The 21,702-nt window shown below is 41.8% G+C and overlaps 2 protein-coding genes across 8 annotated transcripts in view; one reads left to right on the top strand and one right to left on the bottom strand.

Annotated features, from left to right (window-relative positions):
- Window positions 1–19,403, top strand: part of IPCEF1 (interaction protein for cytohesin exchange factors 1) — a 202,308-nt gene extending 182,905 nt beyond the window's left edge. For all 7 annotated transcript variants that reach the window (NM_015553.3, NM_001130700.2, NM_001394799.1 and 4 more), the window contains 2 exons: window positions 5,786–5,979; window positions 13,859–19,403. In NM_015553.3, the coding sequence (NP_056368.1) occupies window positions 5,786–5,979; window positions 13,859–14,071 (407 nt within the window). In that variant the 3' untranslated portion in view covers window positions 14,072–19,403. The remainder of the gene's footprint in view (window positions 1–5,785; window positions 5,980–13,858) is intronic.
- Window positions 1–21,702, bottom strand: part of OPRM1 (opioid receptor mu 1) — a 236,372-nt gene that overhangs the window by 72,969 nt on the left and 141,701 nt on the right. The window lies entirely within an intron of this gene.

Raw genomic sequence — 21,702 nt, 5'->3', positions numbered from 1 at the left:
TTCCTTCATTTCAACCTTGATGAATCTCACAGTTATGTGTCTTGGGGTTGCTCTTCTCAAGGAGTATCTTTGTGGCGTTCTCTGTATTTCCTGAATTTGAATGTTGACCTGCCTTGCTAGGTTGGGGAAGTTCTCCTGGATAATATCCTGAAGAGTGTTTTCCAATTTGGTCCCATTCTCCCCGTCACTTTCAGTTACACCAATCAAATGTAGATTTGGTCTTTTCACATAATCCCATATTTCTTGGAGGCTTTGTTCGTTTCTTTTCATTCTTTTTTCTATAATCTTGTCTTCTCACTTTATTTCATTAATTTGATCTTCAATCACTGATCCCCTTTCTTCCACTTGATTGAATCGGCTGTTGAAGCTTGTGTATGCTTCACGAAGTTCTTGTACTGTGGTTTTCAGCACCAAAAGATCATTTAAACTCTTCTCTACACTGGCTATTCTAGTTAGTCATTCATCTAATCTTTTTTTCAAGGTTTTTAGCATCCTTGCAATGGGTTAGAACATGCTTCTTTAGCTCAGAGAAGTTTGTTATTACCCACCTTCTGAAGCCTACTTCTGTCAACTCATCAAATTCATTCTCCATCCAGTTTTGTTCCCTTGCTGGTGAGGAGTTGTGTTCCTTTGGAGGAGAAGAGGTGTTCTGGTTTTTGGAATTTTCAGCCTTTCCACTCTGGTTTCTCCCCATTTTTGAGGTTTTATCTACCTTTGGTCTTAGGTGTTGGTGACCTACGGATGGGGTTTTGATGTGGACTTCCTTTTTGTTGATGTTGATGCTATTTCTTTCTGTTTGTTAGTTTTCCTTGTAACAGACAGGACCCTCAGCTGCACGTCTGTTGGAGTTTGCTGCAGGTGCACTCCAGACCCTGTTTGCCTGGGTATCACCAGCGGAGGCTGCAGAACAGCAAGTATTGCTGCCTGATCCTTCCTCTGGAAGCTTTGCCCCAGAGGGGCACCCACTGATATGAGGTGTCTGTCAGCCCCTACTGGGAGGTGAGGCTCCAGTCAGGCTACATGAGGGTCAGGGACCCACTTGAGGAAGTGGTCTGTCCGTTATCAGAGATCGAATGCCGTGCTGGGAGAACCACTGCTCTCTTCAGAGCTGTCAGGCAAGGACACTTAAATCTGCAGAAGTTGTCTGCTGCCTTTTGTTCAGATATGCCCTGCCCCCAGAGGTGGAATCTAGAGAGGCAGCAGGCCTTGCTGAGCTGCAGTGGGCTCCGCCCAGTTCGAGCTTCCCTGCTGCTTTGTTTACACTGTGAGCATAGAACCACCTACTCAAGCCTCAGCAATGGTGGATGCCCCTCCCCTTGCCAAGCTCCAGCATCCCAGGACAATCTCAGACTGCTGTGCTAGCAGCAAGCAAGGCTCCATGGGTGTGGGACCCACCGAGCCAGGCATGGGAGGGAATCTCCTGGTCTGCTGGTTGCGAAGACTGTGGGAAAAGCACAGTATTTGGGTAGAAGTGTATCATTCCTCCAGGTACGGTTACTCATGGCTTCCCTTGGCTAGGAAAGGGAAATCCCCCGACCCCTTGTGTTTCCCAGGTGAGGTGACACCCAGCCCTGCTTCAGCTCACCCTCCATGGGCTGCACCCACTGTCCAACCAGTCCCAATGAGATGAACCAGGTACTTCAGTTGGGAATGCAGAAATCACCTGTCTTCTGCATTGATTTCACTGGGAGTTGTAGACTGGAGCTGTTCCTATTTGGCTATCTTGGAAGCAATGATAATAATTTTTACTGTGACATAATTACAAACAAAATGTTTTAGTCAAAAATATTTTTTTCTTTTAGTGGCTCAATTGGTAAGTTGTTTTCTATCACAATCTTTAGTAGCACAATGTAGCTACTTGGTGAACACAGAGAAATGTAAAGAAACCATTCTATTTATCTTTGTCATACTCTTGTTTGGTTTGCTTGTTGATGTTTGTTAAACATATATTCCTTAATTCAAAAATACTGTGGTATTGAAAGCTATGTGTTTATGCCTTAATCTAAGTAGAATTCTACCTTGTTAGCTGTATTTTTTTAAAAAGTAAAAGGACATGTAAAATTACTGTGTCTTAAAACTGAAAACTCTAAGTCTTCAATCCTAATGCCCCCCTTCAGGAGTCAGATTTCTTTCCACTTAACTTCTTTAAGACTTTCCAGTGTCTCCAGCTTGACCCCATGACTGTGGCCATGCTTAGTATTTCTGCTATGTAGCATCAGCTCTCATGACAATCTCATAAATGACTACTTTTTATAGTTTTATTGAGATATATTTCACATACCATAACATTCACACATGAAAGTGTACAGTTCATTGGTTTTTAGTATATTTGGAATTGTGCAGCTGTCATCACAATCTAATTTTGGAACATTTCAGCATCACAAAAAGAAATCCTTACACATTAGCTGCCATTCTCCACTCCTGCTTGTCCCCTCCCAGACCCCAGGCAATTATTATTCTGGTTTCTGTCTCTGTGGGTTCATCTAATCTGGACATTTCATATAAATGGAATCACGCAATATGTGGTTGTTTGTGACTGGCTTCTTTTACTTAGCAAAATGTTTTCAAGGTTCACCCATGTTGAAGTATTGTGGACAACTGAGTATTTATTTTAATTATTGAATACTATTCTGTCACATGCAAATGCCACATTTTGTTTATCCTTTCATCAGCTGATGAACATTTAGGATCTTCCCAAGTTGAGTCTGTTATGAATAATGCTGCCGTGAACATTCATGTACAATTTTTGTGTGAATATATGTTTTCAATTCTCTTGGGTATTTATGTAGGAGTGTAATTGCTGGGGCACATGCTAAACTCCATGAGAAATGGACAAACTATTTTCTAAAGTGGCAACTCAATTAGCTGAGCATGGTGGCATGCACCTGTAGTCCCAGCTACTTGAGAGGCTGAGGCAGGAGAATCTAGTGAGTCCAGGAGTTCAAGGCTGCAATGAGCTATGATCATGCCACTGCACTCCAGCCCAGGTGATAGACCAAGACCCTGTCTTTAAAAAATAAACAATAAAATAAAAGTAGCAGCTCTGTTTTACATTCCCACTAACAATGTATGAGGGTTCCAATTTATCCACATCCTCATCCACACTTACTACTGTCTGTCTTTTTAATTGTAGCCACCCTGGGTGTGAAGGGACATCTCATGATGGTTTTGGCTTGCATTTCCCTCATGACTGATGATACTGAGCATCTTTTCATGTGCTTATTGACAAAAGCCCACTTTTGATGTCTGCACACGGTGTGAGCCAAAAGTCTAATTGTCTTCAGATGTAGTTTTGAGTATTTTCTTCCCTTTTGTGAGACGGTTTGGTAGAGAAAAAGGAGGTTGTGCTGATGAACATTTTAAGTCAGCTATGAAGTGAGTGCATCATCTTTGCTTTCTGTTTTATGAAAGAGTATTGGTGACTTTCTGGGATGGATAGGGGAAACTAATTCTTGCATAAAGGTTTCTAATCGTAGAGGAGTAAACTCTAAGGCATGTGAAGTTTGCTTGGTTTTGATGCTCCTAGGTCACCATTATATGCTTTTCTCCACCCTATGGAGAGGCTGTTTTTCTAGTTCCTCTAATGCCATACTTTCTATAGAGTCCTCTTTCAAGCTGGTTCTTTGGACAGGAAGTGAAACATATAAACATTAAGGAGTATGTGGTGGAAAAAGAAATCTCATTGTATTTCTTTCCCAAGCTTTCTTCCAAGGAATAAAGGAAAAATAGACTAACGTTCTTAGTGAGAAATTAAAGCAACATCAAAGGATGAAGATTTTCTTTGAGTAACCTCTGTATCATTTGAGGCCCTTCCAGGTGCATATGATTGGAAACCAAAGCCAGGGTAGCTTAACATGGGTAACATATTAGCTCCCACAGGCTGAGAGGGCTCCAACGGTATCATCAAGATCTGTGTCTCAGAATGGGTTGGCTTCCATATCATTATTCTTGGGATACTTCCTGGAAACTTCCAGCTCACACTATCACAACATTCAGCTTAAGAAAAAAGAGAGATTACTTATCTGATACTCCAAAGTCTTGGAACTGAGTCTCCTTGGCCCCAAATGGCCTGACCAGAGGCACATGTTTATCTCTGAATCAGTGACTGTGGCCAGAATGGTGGAACTGCCATTGGCCTCGTCTAGTCCACATGGTCCCCAGTAGATCCTGTGGTGGAGTGGCTTCACTGCAATCATGTGGGCCGAGGCTGGCAAAGTGTGGTTAGGAAGGGAGATGGAGTCTGTGTGGCAAGATGAGGAATGATCACTTTCTACTCAAAACCACAGACCACAGACAGGTTTCTTCTCTCCAAGGGTAGTTCTGGGAAGGACATTAAGCAATCATCTAGGGCAGTAGTTCTCAAACTTTAGCATGTGTATAATTTGCTAGGGCTTATTTGTCCCACACTGTGTTTTAGAAGCAGATATTTGTCGACTTGCATGGGTTTAAAGATGGAGATGAATTTTGTCTCAGGATGAATCACTCCCCCACTGAGTTTCAGCAATACCTGGTTTAGATGATATTTTGTGTGTGTGTGTGTGACAGAGTCTCACTCTGTAGCCCAGGCTGGAGTGCAGTGGTGTGATCTCAGCTCACTGCAACCTCCACCTCCCAGGCTCAAGTGATTCTCGTGTCTCAGTCTCCTGAGTAGCTGGGATGACAGGCACGCACCACCACACCCAGCTAATTTTTTGTATTTTAGTAGACAACGGGTTTTACCATGTTGTCAAGTGTGGTCTCAAACTCCTGAGCTCAGGCGATCCTCCTGCCTTGGCCTCCCAAAGTGTTGGGATTACAGGCGTGAGCCACCACACCCAGCCTGGATGATATTTGGGTGAGCTTTTGGTCTTAGAGTTGATGGTGGAATGGGTTAAGACTTTTGGAGTTGTTGGGATGAGGTGAATATATTGCACGTGAGAAACACATGAATTTAGGAGGCCGGAGGGTGGACTATGTATGGGTTGAATTGTGTCCCTCTAAAATTCATATGTTGGGCTGGGCGTGGTGGCTCACACCTGTAATCCCAGCACTTTGGGAGGCCAAGGTGGGCGGATCACCCAAAGTCAGGAGTTCAAGACCAGCCTGGGCAACATGGTGAAACCCTGTCTGTACTAAAAATATAAAAATGAGCCGGGCATGGTGGCAGGTGCCTGTAATCCCAGCTACTTGGGAGGCTGAGACAGGAGAATCACTTGAACCTGGGAGGTGTAGGTTTCAGTGAGCCAAGATTGTGCCATTTCACTTTAGCCTGGGCAACAGCAGTAAAACTCCGTCTCAAAAAAAATAATAATAAAATTAATTAATTAATTAATAAAATTCGTATGTTGACGTCCTAACCCCTAATACCTCAGAATGTGACCTTATTGGGAAATGGGGTTGTTGCAGATTTAACTAGTTAAGATGAGTTAATAGGGCAGGTTTCTAATCCAACATGACTGATACCCTCATAAATAGGGGGAGTTTGGACACAGAGACATGCATGCAGGGAACACCCCATGTGAATATTGGAGTTATACTGCCACAAACCAAAAAACCACTTGAAGCCAGGAGAGAGGCTTGGAATAACTCCTTCCCTGGTGCCTTCACAGGGAACGTGGCTCTGCAGTAACAAAGTATCGCAAACTGGGTGGCTTAGACAGCAAACATTTATTGTCTTTCAGTTCCGGAGAGAAGTCTGAGATGAGGGTGCCAGTGGGGCCGTGCCTTGGGACCACAGTATTGAATGTTCTCTCCTTGATTTTTCACTGGGTTTATTGTTACTGCTTTCTTTTTTTTTTTCAAATAGAAGAGACAAAAGTGTCTGAAGATGATGAAATGGAGAAGCTGTACAAATCATTAGAGCAAGCTAGTCTATCTCCTCTTGGGGACCGACGACCTTCGACTAAAAAGGAGTTGAGAAAATCCTTTGTTAAGCGGTGTAAAAATCCATCTATAAACGAGAAACTCCACAAAATCCGAACATTGAATAGCACATTAAAGGTAACAAAATTTCAAATTGTGGATGAACTCTATGGATGTGGGGCAAGGAACGGCTGGTTCTGCAGAGAGATTCTTGCTAATCACAGCATGTTTGTGTGGTTGCAGGGAAGGGCTGTAAAAGTAAATATAACCTTTATAGGGCAAGATGATCTTGACGTTCTTAAAGCACTAGGACATTCACACAGTAGCGCCCAAGGCAGTTTTTCACAATAGGCCTTGATGTTTGCATTCACTCTGATATAAAATTTCAAATTTTAAGCTTCTGGACAGCAAGGACCATGCATAATTTGTTTTTTAACCCTTATACCTAGCACAGTACCTGGTTCAATAAATGTTGATGAGAGACAGAGATCATCAACTGGTGAGAATAAACAGTCGTATAAATAAGATCTCGAATTTTCATCTGATTCATACAAGGGTACCAGTCTTCAGGACTGCATCCAGAAGGAAATGTCTTGATTTCAGCTGCAGCAAAGATGTAGTGATTGTCAGCTGTGGGCACTGCAGCCAAGGAGCACCATGAGAGCCCGACAGTGGGAAGTACACACTCTGTGGTAATAGACCAGCAGATGTTTTCACAATGGGAATAAGGGAAAGTGTACAGGAAGTACTGAAGCTATTTTCAGGCCCTCCCTGAGCTGAAATGGTTCTTCATAACAAAAGTGTCCTGCTTTCACATTTAGATTATAACATGAACAGGTGGAGGCCAGGATACTTTGTAAAATGCTCCTGATTTAGCAGACGATTTATCTGAAAAGCTTTGATAGATTCTGTAAGTGAATTTTGTTTTGTCTGTGGCCTTTGGCATTAAGAACTTAAGTCATTTTCCAGGAAGAAATGTCAGCAATTGAAAGGACAAGGCTACAAAGGCAGGCTGAGTGGCTCTTAGGCGTCCCAGTTAGTCAGTAGAACATCTGAACACCCTAAAAGGCTACAAAAATGAGGCCAGAATGGAAAAAGAAAGTAAATTTTAATTATACAAAGATAATACAAATGCAGAGAAATTCACTCTTATTTAATATTAAAATTTTTATCGATAATAAAAGATATCACTGGCCGCCATTTCACAGTATGTACGAAGCTGATGAATATATTTGATTATTCAATGTAATATGTCATAGCGTGTTGGGATTTTACTGTCTTCTTTGTCTGTGATAGCTGATATGAGTGAGTAAAGTTTTCATTGAGCAAGTATTTCCTGACTCTTACTATGTACCAGCCACTATTCTAGGTGACTGGGACCATTGAATGGACTCTACCGGTGTAGAAACAGAGGAAAACAAATACATGATTAAAATGAAGTGCAAAAATACTCTGGTTGAGATGTGCTCAGGGTGCTTTGGTGGTCCAAGGGGGACAGTGGATTACTGGAGGCATTAGGAACACTGTCACGAAATCCGTGAGTCAGGAAGAAATGAATACCAAGGGAAGGACATTCAAGGAAATGGAATGTCTGTCAACGGATAATAAGCTGTAGTTCCACGTTGGGAGAAGCAGGAAGTAGAGGCCGCGGAGAGCATGTGCAGTTTGAGTCATTAGTAGAAGGAGAAAGGCTGTGGCCTCAGGCCTTCCACAGAGCAGCAGACTCAGGATTCTAGATCTTTACGGCACCATGCCCTCACCTGGCCACTGGGGGGCCAACTTTGTGAAAAGAATTAGTGTTACCATTCCCTATGGGTCTCTGTGACCTCGTCATTGGTGAATTCAGCAGCTTTTGCTTTTCTGTCAGTGTATCGGTTATCCAGTGCTAGGTAACAAATTATCCCAAAGCTTAGCAACTCCAAACAATCAGCATTTATTATTTCAAAGTGTCTGTGGCCAGGAATCTGGGTGTGGCTTGCTCAAATGCCTCTGCCCCCAGGTCTCTCACAAGGCTGTGATCAAGCTGTCAGCTGGGGCTGCATTCATTCCTCCATGGAGAGGGATCAGTTTCTAAACTCCTGCATGTTAATTATTGGCAGGATTCAGGTCCTTTCAGGTTGCTGGACTGAGGGTCTCAGTTGCCCTCTGGCTGTTGGCCAGAGGCTCCCCTCAGTTCCTTGCCACATGGGCTTCTCCACAGGGCAGGTCACAACTTGGAAACTGGCTTCTTTCAGAGCAAGCAACACAGTGAGAGTGAGTGAGTGAGATGGGTTATAACCCAGTGGCAGCAATGACATCACATTACTTTTGCAGTATTCTATTCAGTAGAAGCAAGTCATTGGGTCATCTCATTTTCAGGGAGGAGATTACACAAGGCCTTGAATACCAGGAAGCAGAGAAGATTGGGGGCCCGCTCAGGGCTGCCTGCCCCACCCAGCTAGGGAACTGCTCTTTCTGGACATTTGTGAGAAGGAGCCCTTTCCATAGATCCCTCGTGCAGTGCTTGGGGCTGATGAAATAGAACAGGACCCATGTCATGCAGTCCTATTAATCTCAGGAGGTAGGAGGACATGCTGATGTGGAAATTGGTCTTGCTGAAGAAGCTGAACAAAAGCAAAGTGCATCAACCTATTCAAAGGAGAGAGAGAACTTGGTACATGTGTGCATGTTCATGTTGGAAGGGTATAATAATTATTTCTAATTGTTTTTAAAATTCAAAGCAGTCAAGAGAGTGGTTGTCTTTGAGGAAGAGGAGAGGATGGGACTGAGAGGGGATGTGAATGGAGCTTCTGAGTGCTGGGTGCGGGTCCTTCTGTGACCCTGGTAGTAGTGGTATGGAAGTGTTTATTTTGTGATAATTCTTTAAGCACAATTTTTCTATTTGTGCACTTTTCTCTGAGTATGATATATTGCACAGAGAATATATCATACACAGAGGAAATGTTTATGTTTTAAAAGCTCCAAAGTAGGAGTGTAGACAAGCAAAGACAACAGAGTTTCATGCAGAAACAAGGAAACTGTTTTAACAATAATGTTTATATTTGCCGCAGGTGCATTCCGTAAATAAGAAAAATCCCTGCACTGGGATAGTACTGGAATGAATGCACTTCAGGGAAATTCTTCTAGGAAGTTGAGCAAACTTCCAAGTTGAACTTGAGCAAAAGTTGATCGTATTATGTTGTACACTAAATACAGATATTTAGGAATTTCTAACAGCTCATCATTCACTGACTTTTGGCTAAGTCTGCTTTTATTTTAAAATAAGTTATTAATGGAATGATTAATGGGTCCAACTGAAACTCTCTCTGAGTTACTCTGACCTATGTCACAAGAGCGGTGAACCCTTTCTTCCCGTAGCTACTCTGGTGGAACACATTTCCAATGCTTAGGTCTTGAGTCGAGCCACACACTGACTATTTGGAGTAAAAACTGAAAGTACAGCATTCTCTCTTTCATGGTATTTTTGGAATCCCTGCCAAACCTTGCTTGCCTGCCAGAAAGCAGAGCGGATGTTGTGAAAGTAGTTCAAAGCCCTCCAAAAGCCTCATGCGCCATCCAGGAGAAGCTGGGCTGCTGGATGAGGCCCAGCCCCAGGATGCCTGGTGTAGGAAGGAGCTTGGAAGGTTCTGTTGTTTCATTAATTTCCTTCTTCTGTATTATTGTCTACATTTTTTTCTTTCATCCATAGAAGAACTAACACAGATTTGAGCCAAATGGTAAAAAATTTGAACTACTTAGAGCCAAAAGCCATATGAGAAGTGTCAGCTTAATGCCCAAAGTTGAAGAGACCCTGTTCTAAAAATTTTATTAGCTATAAAGAGGGGTTAATTCATGTATGCAAAGTCAGTTTCCCCAATTTTTATTAATTTTCAAAGATCTTATTTAATTTTTTAATATGAAAAATTAGGATCTTCCTTTGAAGTAGATGTCTAAATTTCTTTAGAACAAAATAAAACTCTTTAAATAACTTTACATTAATAGCAGTATGGTGATATCAGAGGAAGAAAGCTTTTGTTGTTGTTGTTGTTTTGGAAAAGTTGTTTTGGAAGCATAGATATTGAAAACTCAGAAAGAAGAAATATGCTCTTTTGGCCCTGCCTAACTTTCTATAAACAATCCCTCTGCTTTCCTACTGCACTGTTTTTTCTCCATTTTGGAAGGAAGGATTCCTATCTTTATCCATCTATATGTCTATCTTCTATCTATCTATCTATCTATTAATATCTATCTATCCAGCTATTGATCTATGAATCTATGTCTAGTTTTTTTGTTTAATGGAAAGGATTTCCTCAGACTCCAAATAGGGTTCAGAATGCAAAAGAGAATAAAAAGCAAATTGGTAATTCATTTATTCATTTATTTCTTATTTTATATATTCATTTTTTCAACAAGTATTCAACGAATGTCTACATGTGTAAACAGTCTACATGTGCAGTCATTCTTTCAGGCACTTGGGGCTATAGCACTGGGCATGTCAGATAAAAAGGCCTGCCTTCCGGAAGCTTATGTTTTAGTAGGAGAATAAACAAACATAATTGACTATTAAATGTATAATATGATAAGTGATGATAGATTTGATAAAGAATAGAAAAGGGGATAGAACATGTTGAGGAATTGATATTTAATTAGGAAGGACATGAAAGGCCTCTTTGAAAGACATAATTTGTGTAAAATCTGAAAAAGGAAAGGGAATGAGGCTTGAGGTTCTCTGAGGCCGAATATTTCAGGCAAAAGGAACAAAAACACAAACACCTTGGGGCGGGAGTGTGCCTAGGGCATTTAAGGAAGAGCAAGGAGGTCAAGGTAGCTGTAATGTAGTGGGGATGGAGCATGGGGAGTGCAGCAGTGGGCTGGAGGGGCAGCAGGGACTCGAGCCATTGAGGATCTCATTGCCATTGCAAACACCAGCTTCTGCTCGGAGTAAGACAGTGACCCTCTGGAAGGTTCTGAACAGAAGGATGGCATGCTTTGTGTCATGTCTGAAGGTAGAACCATCAGCCTTTGCTGGTGGATTGGGTGTGGTAGAAGGAGTCAAGAATGACTCCAGTGTTTGCTCTGAGCAACTGGAAAGACGGAGTTACCATTAAGTGCTTTGTGGAAGACTACGGTAGGAACCGGGTTTGGTGTGCATTGGAAGTTGGTGGGGTGGGGATGTAGAGAATAAGAGGAACTTATCTTTAGATATGTTATTTTTGAGATGCCTCTTAGGGGTTGATGTGGAACTGCTGAAGAGGAAGTTTAGACAAATGATGATGGAGTCCAGGGAAGAAGTAAGGAGAGATATAAACTTGGGACCCTCAGCACATAGGAGAGTGGGAGAGATTTCTTGTGATTACCAACAGCATGAACATAGATAGAGCAGAGAACAGGATACAAGCTGGGGCTTTAGAACACTCCAGTGAGAAGAGGTGGCGTGACAAGGAGGAATCAGCAACTAAGGTGGGAGTAAGTAGCAATTGTGGTACAAGAAAAATCAGGAGAATGTATCATAGGAGCACAACAATGAAACTGTTCAAGAAGGAGGAGTAGTCAATTGTTTTAGGTGCTGCTGATAAATAAGTTGAAGATGGATCATTGGTTTAACATTGATTTAATGGTTTATTGGATTTAACAACATGGAGGTCACTGATGGTCTTCACAAGAGCAGTTTTGGTGAATGGTGGGGGCCAAACCCTGATGGGACTGAATCTATGCAGAATGGGCCACTGGAGACAGGAAAAAGTAGAGCATTAGCTGGACAGGGATTTGGGGGCAGAGAGGAATTTTAACATGCAAGAAATAACAGCAAACATGTGTACCAGTGAGACTGCTGGAGGGGATCTGGAAAGTTGGTGAGTCAGAGGAGAGAACAGAATTGCTGGGATGAATTTCTTGAGTAGGAGAGCGGGGGCCATTGTGCCCAAGTGGAGGGATTGGCCTTTACTAGGAGCACAGATGCTCCATCTCTGTGAACAGGGCAGAAGGCAGCATAGATTTGCATCCATGTAGTTCGTGGGCAATAGGAACTTGGGAGAAGTGCTCTTCTGATGGCTTCCATTTCCTCAACAAAGAGATAGCAAGGCCATCAGCTGCGAGTGAGGATGAGAGAGGGGGTTTGAGATGAGAAGAGTTTTGAAATAGTCATTTGGGAGACTGCCAGAAAAAGGATGTGAAAATGTGATGACTGGAGAGTAGTGAAAATCCACTTACTGGCAGTGGTTGTGAAGTTTTAGTTTCACACATGCTGTCCTGGGGATAGTCAAAAAGAGTAGTTCAATCACATGCATGAATTGAATGTCTACATGGCACTTGGCATTGCGTTAGGTGCAGGGAATACAGGGATGAAGGAAATGTTTCTTGTCATCTTCTTTAAGCTTTAGAAGAGGGGCCATGACTTACCCGTAAATACCTAAATGTACCTCGGTAAGTTCTCAGAGGGCATCATTGGAAGGCATGAGAACATAAAAACTTAAAAGCTTATCAGTCCAATTTTGGGAGTGCAGGGAAGGTTTCCTGGACAATGTGATGCCTCAAGTATAGATTTACGGGTTTTGAAAAATTGGGTAGGCCAGGTGCAGTGGCTCACGCCTGTAATCCCAGCACTTTGGGAGGCTGAGGTGGGTGTATCACTTGAGGTTTAAGGAGTTTGAGACCAGCTTGGTCAACATGGCGAAACCCCATCTCTACTAAAAATAGAAAAATTAGCCAGGCATGGTGGTGCATGCCTGTAATCCCAGCTACTTGGGAGGTTGATGCAGGAGAATCGCTTGAACCTGGGAGGCAGAGCTTGCAGTGAGCTGAGATTGGGCCACTGCACTCCAGCCTGGGCAACAGAGTGACTCTGTCTCAAAAAAAAAAAAAAATGAAAAGAAAAGAAAAAAATTGGGTAAAGAAAGACTGGAAAGTGTTCTGTGTAAAAGAAACTCTAGAAATTAGAGTTTATGAGGTGAAGAAAGGCAAGGAAGATTCTTCATGTGGCACAACAACACGGAGGTGTGAGCTAGTGTTGTGTGGGTGAGAAAATGCATGCCAGTACATTAGACTGGGAAGTCAAAAGGAAGCAGAGTATCAACAAATGGTGCCAGTGCAGGTGAGGAGCCTTGGGTGTAAGGGGATCCATGAGGGGGACTCGGCATTTACATGCATCCCTGCTCTGCTAAGTGGAGGTGGAGTTGAAGTGGGCATTGGAGGCAGTGGTCTCGCTCAGGAGGCTGTGGCAGCAGATCAAACGTGATATATTGAACTGGATATCCAACCTTAGGATTATGGTCATGGGATGGAGAAAACAGGCATAGATTTGAGATACAATTGTCAGGGCTGAATATTTGTTTTTAATATGGAGGATGAACATCTTATTTATACTCCATTCCTTGTCTATAGAAAACTCTAACCTGAGCTAGACATTTCAGAAATGTGTGCCATTGGTTACAGAGGAGGCAGAATGGAATAGCACCAATAGGTTGTTTATTAGCATTATTGGAATACATACTGTTTTGATGGAAGGTTAGTAGCCTCTTCTTTGACTGAAAAGATAATCTGTGTATTTATTCTGTATTAAATAAATGTGATTTATTAAAAATAAAGATAATTTAATAAAATCTTAAAAGACATATTTTATGTTGCCATATGTCCTAGGTAAAGTGTTACGTTCCAATTTTACTTAGTGAAGTTTGGATTGTCAATAAAATGCTAATACCTACAATGGTAAGTTTTAGGAGGCATGATTCCCACACCAAGGTAGAATTGTTACTGTGGTGTGGAATAATGGATTGATCAGGGAAAGGCAACATAGAAGATCTTTGCTATATGTCTAGCTCTTCCACTAACTCTTGGGTAGGATACTTCACTTCTTTGCGGCTAGCGTATGCAAACAAATGTCGTATTTCTTAAGCTTAATGCTGGAATTAGAACATTAACGTGCAAAAATGCTTTGGTAATTTTATGTATATGTGTACTTGTAAAAGAGTTGGTAAAGATGGTTTATGTAAATTAAGACACTCTCAACATACCCCCTTCCCCTTTTTTTCTACTCACACAGTGTAAAGAACATGATCTGGCCATGATTAACCAGTTGCTGGATGACCCGAAGCTGACAGCCAGGAAATACAGAGAGTGGAAAGTCATGAACACCCTGCTGATCCAGGACATCTATCAGCAGCAGCGGGCTTCGCCTGCCCCTGATGACACTGATGACACCCCCCAGGAACTCAAGAAATCACCTTCTTCTCCCTCTGTTGAAAATTCCATTTGAGACAAAGTCAGGGTTTTCTCCTCTTATATTTTATCACAAGCAACTCTTCAAGATGTTGCAAAAGCTTACATTTTTCCTTAAAAGGAAAACTGAAACCCAGTCCTTCAAGCATCAGCTTCCCATCTAAAGATGCACGTTAGATGAAGATAATCACCGAATACACCAGGGCTCCTCATTTCAGTCGTAACGCATCCATTGAGATTGGAATGATTGAGTTCAGTTGAAAGGCGTTTTTTGTGTTCCTACTGGGAGCTCACGGTGATGTGGGGCTCTAGGGGGGATGTGAGAAATGTCTCTTCTGTTCATTGCTCTCCAGAGAATGCTATGGACAAGAATCAAATTTTACCAGGAGTAATTGCCCATGGAAACATTCTGTTTTTCAAAAGAAGAATGTACATATTCCACTTGACTGGGAAGCTGTGTGGCCCAAATCACTGTTTGAGTGGAGGAATGTTTTCTAGAGCAGTGACTGGAAGGACAAACGTGGTGTTGCAGAACAAAAATTCCTTGCCTTTGGTATGGAATGGTGGTGCCTTTTCCATGTGATGAGAAATGCTTCATAGACAGTGGCATGTGGGAGAGCTGAAGGAGGAGGCGTGTTCCATATTCCACTCATTCAAAGGACAGCTTGGTGTTTTCACACTTTATGCAGGTTAGGGGATCTGATTAATGTTTCCTTTCCTTACAACAGCTAGAGAAAACATCTCATCACAATTGGAGACCTCTACTTCCTTTGAGCTTTCCTACTCAATGGTAGGAGATAGGAATATGTTCCGCAAAGAATGTCTACTGCTCTTGTCCTTGGCTGTGATCCCTATACATAGTGTGAATTTATATCCAGGTTTCCCAGGATCAATATTGACAAGACGACTTTGGCATCTGAATTGTTTTAATATCTTTACTCAAAAAAACAAAAAAACAAAAACCCATGGAAGCAACAAAAGAGTTAAACATGAGGGATTTATTTTTGTATGTTTATATGTCACTTGTGTGCTATGTGAATAGCTATGTTTGTTATTTAAATATATTTATAGAAGTTCAAATTACTAGTGTTTAAAAGATGATATACTATTATATATTGTGCTTAGTATATATTTGATGAGTCTATACTTTTTGCTTGAGAAAAATAGAAATACTATTGATTCACTGGTGTTATGATGTTGCACTGTGTCTGAGGAATGCTCAGGAAATCTTGTGGGAAAAAAATGGGGCATGCATTCATAATTTTTCATTTTCTTCCCCACCCCAACCCCCATGAGCTCTTAAATTTAGATTTCTATCTCTTGTAAGTCACTCTTTTAACCAGCAAAGGACTTTCATCTTAGATTATCCTTTCTATTAAATAAACTTTAAGCTTTGTGCCATTTATGCCTGCAAACCTTAGACCAAAGGCAACACAACTAATGTCATCTTTTCATTAAAGACTAATAGAAATTTAGAAATCATTGTGTTAAAGAGAGCTATAGAGAAACAATATGAAAGTCTTCCCTTACTAATCACCATGAATATTTCTCACCATAGGAATAACCACAACCCACCAAGTACCCATGTTGGCCCTGCCTACCCGTAACAAATTGTTCACACAACCTATTTTGTTTTATAGCTTCAAAGTGTGGCTTGACATTCAAATGGAAGGAACCACCTGAATTATATCTGCAAACAAAATGGAAATAGTTGTTGAATAGTTCCCCAAGCTTTACTAAGAAGCCTTAATACTCTGTAAACAAACAAACAAACAAAAAACAACCTTAGCATTAAGAAATAAAAACAAAAAACAAGAAGCAAGTTGTACTGCTAGAAACTTCTCTAAGATAAGAGGCCAGGCCAGTCAGTTTGGCCCAGCAAACATGTGGGTACTTCTCCACCTAGGGAAGCCACTGAAGATGAGTTTGACCTGTGGTGACCTGACAGAGAGAACATTCAGATCCTCAGATTGCACCCTGATGCCCTGGTTTAGGAAAGCAGTGCTTTAACCTTTTGCCCCTGGAAATTACTGATTCTTTCTGTGATTAGCAGATACCAGAAGGGAAATTATTTAGGATTGGCAATGTAAAGAGTATTGAAGGAACAACAAATAACAATAGCAGAAATAACAGTGTGACATAAAGTGCCCTTCCACCTATTTTTCTTTGGTTTGCAACACCAGCCTGTAGACTTCCAGTTTTTCTTAAATTGAAGAGCTCCAGACACTTTTGAGCAGGGTTTGTGAATAGCTTTGAATGCTTTCCTTTGGCTTTTCGTGAAGACATATTTCCCCAGCCTTTCAACTGTAAACTCCTTTAGTACCATTGAAACTTAAGGCAAAAAAGATCCCTGGGATTACTTAGCCAAGGCTTAAATTTATTTTTCAAAGTCAAGAACATTAGCCTAGAAGTTTTTGCTTTGCTAGTTAAAGCTTACTTTGCAGAGCTTCCCAAAGTGAAAGGGAAACTGAACTTCACAATTTTGCACCTGGCTTTCTGGAGCCCCATTGCCTGCTCATTCGTGTTTTTCCCCCTGTAAATTATTTTGCTTTTGACCAGGTTGTGCTAGAAAGTAGGGCTGCTTCTGTGAGTTCTCAGCCTAGGCTGTGGCCACTAAGACGTGGGTGGGGGGATAGACAGGAGTGAGAGGGAGAGTGGGTGACACTTTCCGTGACACTTAATGTAGGAAGACATGGGCTTCTCTCTCTTGGCCTCAAGCCACTTTTCTGGTCCAAAGAATATTGGGAAAACTGGATTACTTTCAGTATATTTCTTGAGACCGGGTCATCTCTGAAATGCATTTGGGGTAGTTTCCTGGGGTCCAAGGGCCAATTCCTATACCCAGTCCTGCAGTGTCTGTGAGCTGTGGAATGAGAGAGAAAACCATGGCTGCTCAGGAAGGAAGTGGAGAATCTCTCAGCACACGTAGATCCAAATCTGTGGCACCTGCTAAAGATTAGGATTTGGAGAGGACTCCTCTTTGGGGTTGTGAAGAGGACCTTTTCCCTCTGTTGTTAGCCTGTAGATCCAGAACGGAGCCTGATGTGATGCCTTCACTGGTTGATATATTGCAAATAGACACTCTGAGCCCTGCATTGCAAGGGCGTCTTTTGCTTTAAAGAATTCTTAGTTTTGCCACAACAGCTCAAATCTCAGAATAGGATCAAAGGCCTAGAAAGACTCCTAAAGTATAGGATTACAAAGACTCCAGGAAGCGTAAGAAAGAGATTGTGTTTGGAGTCAGATTTCAATGTGAAACCCATGCCTTACATTTACACAGCACTTTGTAGTTTGCAAATTGGTGTGTTTTCAGCCCCCTCCCGCTGCCCCATGCTCTGAGATGATTGTGGATTATTACAGTGAAGTGCCTGGCCCGGAGCCCCCAGTGATGAAGCAGGAACTTGAGTCTCAGGACTCCCAGCGGCTCTCTGCCCATTTCCTCCTCTCCGCCCCCCACCTCGCTTCACCTGTTACCTTGTGAAGTTGCTGTTGGCACATAGCCCACTAGGAAACCAAGAAGTTTGACTGGGAGCGTGTGTTTCATTGCACTGGGCTTAGCATACGGCTGGCCCTGGTGGCTGTTTGGCTAAATTCTCCATTTGAAACCTAAAGGGCCCTCTCTGTGCTTGAGCACAGTCTCCTCCTAGTGGTCCTGCCTCAACCTGCTGGCGGGCTGTCTATGGATTGGGGTTTCACCTAATCATGCTGTGTTTCCTTTCTTTTCTTTCTGTACATTAGACTACTTGGGAGGTGCTGTGTGATCCTTGGATGAAAAACATATATTTAAAGAAATGGAGAGTGTTTATTTTGTTTGCTTTTTGAGGCATGTGCTGTCAAATGTTAGAGACCAAACTTAGTGATTAGAGGTTGGTCCTTTGACCTTCTTCTCTTAATTGCTTTTCATGTAATCATGATAATTTACTCAGGTAGCACTCCAGTCACAAACAATGTCACAGAGATGAAACAGATTCAAAGAAAAAATATTTTTAAGTCTTTTGAAAAGAAGTGCTATTCAAATTTAAGACATGTTTAAATTCATAGGTACATTATCTCTTAGTAAGAAATACTTTTTTTTTTCTTTTTTTAGACAGAGTCTTGCTCTGTTGCCCAGGCTGGAGTGCAGTGGCACGATTTTAGCTCACTGCAACCTCTGCCTCCCTGGTTGAAGTGATTCTCCTGCCTCAGCCTCCCGAGTAGCTGGGACTACGCCCGGCTAATTTTTATATTTTTAGTAGAGACCGGGGTTTACCATGTTGCCCAGGCTGGTTTCAAACTCCTGACCTCAGGTGATCTGCCTGCCTCTGCCTCCCAGAGTGCTGGGATTACAGGTGTGAGCCACCACACCTGGCCGAAAGACAGTATTTTGATATAGCCACATACATGATTTAATGAGTAATGTTAAGTACAGAAAAGCTGCCATATCCACATAGTTTTAGGGGGCATTTCTTCTTCAGTCTAACAAGAATATGATATCCAATTGTGGTTTTCCAATTTATTTCTCTTCCAATTTCTTTTGTATACCTCACAGGAGAAATTGAATCCTAGAACTGGGAGATGACTGCCCTGCCCAGGGTTTTGTAATACATAATTGAAAATAAAAGTCCCTGAAACTAAATGTTTGCAGCCTGTATGAAATGGACTGTGGAAGGGGGATAATTTCTCTCCTCACAGAAAGCCACTCGTCTCCTTGAATGAGGCATTGAGCAGACACACGTTTCTCTGTGTCGTGGGGCAGGAAGCAATTCCCTTGCCTCTTCAGCACATCTCAGTTCTTTCCCACATGACCCCAGAACCACATAGAAAACATTGAAAATAATGGATTCTTCATTGTATTTGAATTTTTTTTTTTTAACCTTTAGCCCAAAAGGGAAGTGTGCCTCGTGGAAAGAGCAAATGCCGTAAAATAGAAACCAGGAGTTTTAATCGCCATATATTTTAATGTGCTTGCATGATGGGAATGTGACTTTTAGCACTGCATGGTGTTTGGGGGCAAGATATTAATGTGGAAATCTTAGCTTAAGTTTTACTGTGCTCTCATCCTGTGTCAGCTACCCCTCTAAACTGAAAAAGAGGCATGGCTCATTTCTCTCCTGCTTTATGTTTTTGAGGTTGACTTGTAAGATAAAAATAAAAATAAGAAAAAAATATATCTAGGCAAATGACATGAAAAAAAAGTTGAAATATACTACTGGTGTTCATTTTTGTCCTGCAGTGTTGCTTTCTCAAAGAAATAAACATGTGGCTGGAAGTGTTTAATGGCTGCGTTTTGATCGTCTACAACAAGGTTACAGTGCCCTCTGGTGGCAGTCATCAAAATCGCTTCTAGACTTGTTTTTATTTTTAAATAAAAGATCTAATTATATTGGAAATCTGTTTCAACAATAATCGATGTGGTCTTTTCCAGTGGTTCTCAAGTTACAGGTTTATTAATACAATAATATTTAGATTTTTCAAAAATTGCCATTGGACCACTAAATTTGACTTGCACATTGTATTACTTATTATTTCTAGGCACCCACATTTTGTTTAAAGAATTTTTAAAATTTGCATATTATAAAAGTTACAAAATGTGGTACACAAGCTGCTTAAAACATATGAGATATTTATTTGAAAATGAACAAAGAAAATAATGAAATAGCCTAATAAATTGCCTTTCTTTGGATCCACTGATCAGAGGGAATCAGCCTGCATTTGAACTGATTCATGCTCCTTGACTGCTGTCTACACACACAGTTTTCATTTTGTTCCTGACTCTCTCCCAAGTCTCACCTCACAAGCCAAGCTCCACCTTCTGTCTTCTTTGTCCTGCCACCACCAAATATTTCTAGGCTCCTACATGGAAGCAGGAAAAATTATTTTAGACCAAAGGTATTAGTAAAAGGTATAGGCACCATGCGTTTCCTGATTTCGGGAACAATCTCATATTATTTCCTATTCCTGATATAACAAATTACCACAAATAGAGCAGCTTCAACAAATTTGTGAACTCACAGTTCGAGGAAGGTTGCACTCCTTGTGGAGGCTCTGGGGGAGAATCCATTTCTTTGCCCACTCCCTGGGCTACAGGTGCCCCACTTCGCTTGTCTCTGAGCTTCTTCCTCCAGCTTCGGTGTCAGCAACTTGCACCTGGTGCCTTCCTTCTCTCCTCGCCTCCTCCTGGGGCTTTTTTTTTTTTTTTTTGAGATAGAGTTTCACTCTGTCGCGCAGGCTGGAGTGCAGTGGCGTGATCTTGGCTCACTGCAACCTCCGCCTCCCGGGTTCAAGTGATTGTCCTGCCTCAGCCTCCTGAGTAGCTGGGATTACAGGCACCCGTCATCACTCCTGGCTAATTTTTCGTATTTTCAGTAGAGACGGGACTTCGCCGTGTTGGGCAGGCTGGTCTTGAACTCCTGACCTCAGGAGATCTGCCCGCCTCGGCCTCCCAAAGTGCCGGGATTACAGGCGTAAGCCACCGGTCCTGGCCGGGGCTCTTTTAAGCAACCTTGTGATTACAACAGGCTCACCTGGATAATCCAGGTGAATCTATTTGAAGGTCAGTTGATTTGCAGCCTAAATTCCCCTTTGTTACGTCTACACAGGTTCCAGTGATTAGGACTGAACACTATCCTGCTTACTGCAAATCTCCCTTTCAAATATCCTGCTGAGTCCCCGTGGACCAGCAACACCTCCCAGAAATCCCAGGAATTCCACGTTTTAGCTAGAAGCATGAAAGTCCTTTTTCACACCCCGTAACTTGAATTTGACTTCAAGGTATGTTCACCATAGGAAAGATAATTCATCTTTATGAGGGGAAAAGCAAGAAATTTCTGGCTTTTAAGAAATCAAGTGCTGGGAGCTGTGGCTCATGTTTGCAATTCTAGCACTTTGGGAGGCTGAGGCGGGAGGATTGCTTGAAGCCAAGAGTTTGAGACCAGACTGGTCAACATAATGAGACCCTGTCTCTTTAAAAAAAAAAAAAAAAATAGCTAGGTGTGGTGGAACATGCCTGTAGTCCCAGGTCCCAGCTACGTGAGAGGCTGAGGCAGGAGTATCCTTTGAGCCCAGGAGTTCGGGGCTACAGTGAGCTATAATCAGGTTACTGCATTGCAGTCTGGGTGACAGAACAAGACCTGGTCTCAAAAATAAAATAAATAGAAACAAAAATAAAAATTATGTGTGCACAGGTGCAATGGGGACAATATTTTAATTATCAGATCAGGTATTCACAATACCTGCATTTAAAGACAAAGCATTAAAAAATCACTTTTGAGAATCAAGTATCATCAAGCAAAGGATAATTTAGGCCTTAACATCTTAGGTTTATGATCTGCTTGGTGCCATGTCAGACTGATGGATTTGACCTAGTCTGCAGCCTCTTCCCCCATGACAGTGTGAGGGGGCTTTTCTGAGTGGATGTTGCTGTTGAAATGCATGGATAAATACAGAATTTCATTGGTCCTGACCTGTGTAACCACAACCTGAACACTATTTCTCTTTCTTTCTTTCTTTCTTTCTTTCTTTCTTTCTTTCTTTCTTTCCTTTCTTTCTTTCTTTCTTTCTTTCTTTCTTTCTTTCTTTCTTTCTTTCTTCTCTCTTCCTTTTCTTTCCTTTTCTTTTTCTTTCTTTCTTTTCTTTCTTCTTTTTCTTTTCTCTTTCTTTTTCGTTCTTTCTTCCTTCTTTCTTTCTCTC

Source organism: Homo sapiens, chromosome 6 (assembly GCF_000001405.40).
Source record: "Homo sapiens chromosome 6, GRCh38.p14 Primary Assembly".
Classification (NCBI taxonomy): domain Eukaryota; kingdom Metazoa; phylum Chordata; class Mammalia; order Primates; family Hominidae; genus Homo; species Homo sapiens.
This window is presented reverse-complemented; position numbering and strand designations above follow the sequence as displayed.